Source organism: Homo sapiens, chromosome 3, assembly GCF_000001405.40.
Source record: "Homo sapiens chromosome 3, GRCh38.p14 Primary Assembly".
Classification (NCBI taxonomy): domain Eukaryota; kingdom Metazoa; phylum Chordata; class Mammalia; order Primates; family Hominidae; genus Homo; species Homo sapiens.
The window spans coordinates 150,600,983-150,603,309 of NC_000003.12; the positions used below are offsets into that span (position 1 = coordinate 150,600,983).

The following is a 2,327-nucleotide window of genomic DNA, read 5'->3' on the forward strand; positions in this document are numbered from 1 at the left end:
CTTCCGCCTATCAATCTCTTCCCACACAAGGCAAATGGTTCTTGGACCAAGGAAAATATCTCCTTCCAGCCTCACAGGCCCATTCTATTCTGTCGTCATTTCATAACCACTTCCATGTAGGTTACAAGCTGCTAACCCGTCTCTTAGAACCTCTCATTTCCTTTCCATCGTGGAAATCTATCCTCAAGGAAATCACTTCTCAATGTTCCATCTGCTATTCTACTACCCTGCAGGGATTGTTCAGGCCCCCTCCCTTCCCTACACATCAAGCTCGGGGATTTGCCCCGCCGAGGACTGGCAAATTGACTTTACTCACATGCTTCAAGTCAGGAAACTAAAATACCTCTTGGTTTGGGTAGACATTTCACTGGGTGGGTAGAGGCCTTTCCCACAGGGTCTAAGAAGGCCACCGCGGTCATTTCTTCCCTTCTGTCAGACATAATTCCTCAGTTTGGCCTTCCCACCTCCTCTCTTTCCTTGAAAATCACTGAAGCCTCGACTTACTCACTGCTGAAAAAGGAGGACTTTGTATATTTTTAAATGAAGAGTGTTGTTTTTACCTAAATCAATCTGGCCTGGTATATGACAACATAAAAAAACTTAAGGATAGAGATAGAGCCCAAAAACTCTCCAACCAAGCAGACAACAACGTTGAACCCCCTTGGACACTCTCTAATTGGATGTCCTGGGTACTCCCAATTCTTAGTCCTTTAATACCTATTTTTCTCCTTCTTTTATTCGGACCTTGTGTCTTTCATTTAGTTTCTCAATTCATACAAAACTGCATCCAGGCCATCTCCAATAATTCTATACGACAAATGCTCCTTCTAACAACCCCACAATATCACCCCTTACCCCCAAATCTTTCTTCAGTTGAATCTCTCCCACTGTGGGTTCCCACGCCGCCCCTAATCTCGCTCGAAGCAGCCCTGAGAAACATCGCCTATTATCTCTCCATACCACCCCCAAAAATTTTCGCTGCCCCAACACTTTACCACTATTTTGTTTTATTTTTCTTATTAATATAAGAAGACAGGAATGTCAGGCCTCTGAGCCTAAGCTAAGCCATCATATCCCCAGTGACCTGCACATATACATCCAGATGGCCTGAAGCAACTGAAGATCCACAGAAGTGAAAATAGCCTTAACTGATAACATTCCACCATTGTGATTTGTTTCTGCCCCACCCTAACTGATCAATGTACTTTGTTGATCAGTAATCTCCCCCACCCTTAAGAAGGTTCTTTGTAATTCTCCCCACCCTTGAGAATGTACTTTGTGAGATCCAACCCCTGCCCCCAAAATATTGCTCTTAACTCCACCGCCTATCCCAAAACCTATAAGAACCAATGATAATCCCACCACCCTTTGCTGACTCCCTTTTCGGACTCGGCCCGCTTGCACCCAGGTGAAATAAACAGCTGTGTTGCTCACACAAAGCCTGTTTGGTAGTCTCTTCACACGGACATGTGAAACACTGTGGTCAATTTTTTTTCTTTTTAATAATAATTCTTTTTTAGAAATATGTGCTTAAATAATTGTAAGCCAGGCATAGTTGCCTGTGCCTGTATTCCTAACCACTTGGGAAGCTGAGGCAGGACTGCTTGAGCCCAGGGGTGTGAGGCTGCAGTAAGCTATGATCACGCCACTGAACTCCAGCCTGGGTGACAGTGAGACCGTGTTTAAAAATATATATATACAGATGAAATGATATGATGTCTGAGATTTGCTTCCAAATATGCCTAGGAAGGGAAGAAGTGTTTAGAGATATAGACAAATCAAGATTGTCAAAATGTATAGTAACTGTTAAAGCTTGCTAAGGTAGTTATTCTATTTTTGGATATGTTTGGAATTGTCCAAAGGTTTCCTAAAACTTATGTTTAATATTCTTTCAGGAGAAAGCAATATTGTAAGATCAAAGAAAAGGCCATAACAGCGCACCCAAAAAATTTCAGCATTACCATTCTGAGGGTCAGGAGTCTCCTCCCTTCCATCCGCCAACACTTGAATCAGGACTATAAAGTAGGTGTTTCCAAGTCTCAGGCAGGTAAATGGATAAATTGCAAAACTGGATGCAGAACTCACATCTGCCTCATACATAGGCCCTGTGACACCCCACCAGCTCCTTTGCTCCCTTTCTGCCTTTCTCATGCCGTCCCAGAGTCTTGCACACTACCAAGATGGTGGTGAGTCAGGACAGTGAAACAGGTCGGCTCTTCACTCCAGGAGTGTGCGCGGGCGCCGGGCCGCGCAGGCGCATTACTGCTCCCCTCCCCCGACCTTGGCTGATCGCGCCTGCGCAGTGGGGAGCAGCTCGCTCCTGGGCT

The 2,327-nt window shown here is 44.8% G+C and overlaps 1 long non-coding RNA gene across 1 annotated transcript in view, besides 1 other annotated feature; it reads right to left on the reverse strand.

Annotated features, from left to right (window-relative positions):
* The window catches only part of LOC124900547 (uncharacterized), a 38,807-nt gene extending 36,606 nt beyond the window's left edge, over positions 1–2,201 (reverse strand). Inside the window, exon 1 of the long non-coding RNA XR_007096128.1 lies at positions 1,962–2,201. This is a non-coding gene — a long non-coding RNA (uncharacterized LOC124900547). The remainder of the gene's footprint in view (positions 1–1,961) is intronic.
* Positions 2,128–2,207: an enhancer, noted in NCBI's record as "active region_20691". NCBI's record gives its function as "activates an Ori minimal core promoter by ATAC-STARR-seq in GM12878 lymphoblastoid cells {active_cell/tissue: GM12878}" and the evidence as "EXISTENCE:reporter gene assay evidence [ECO:0000049][PMID:35858748]".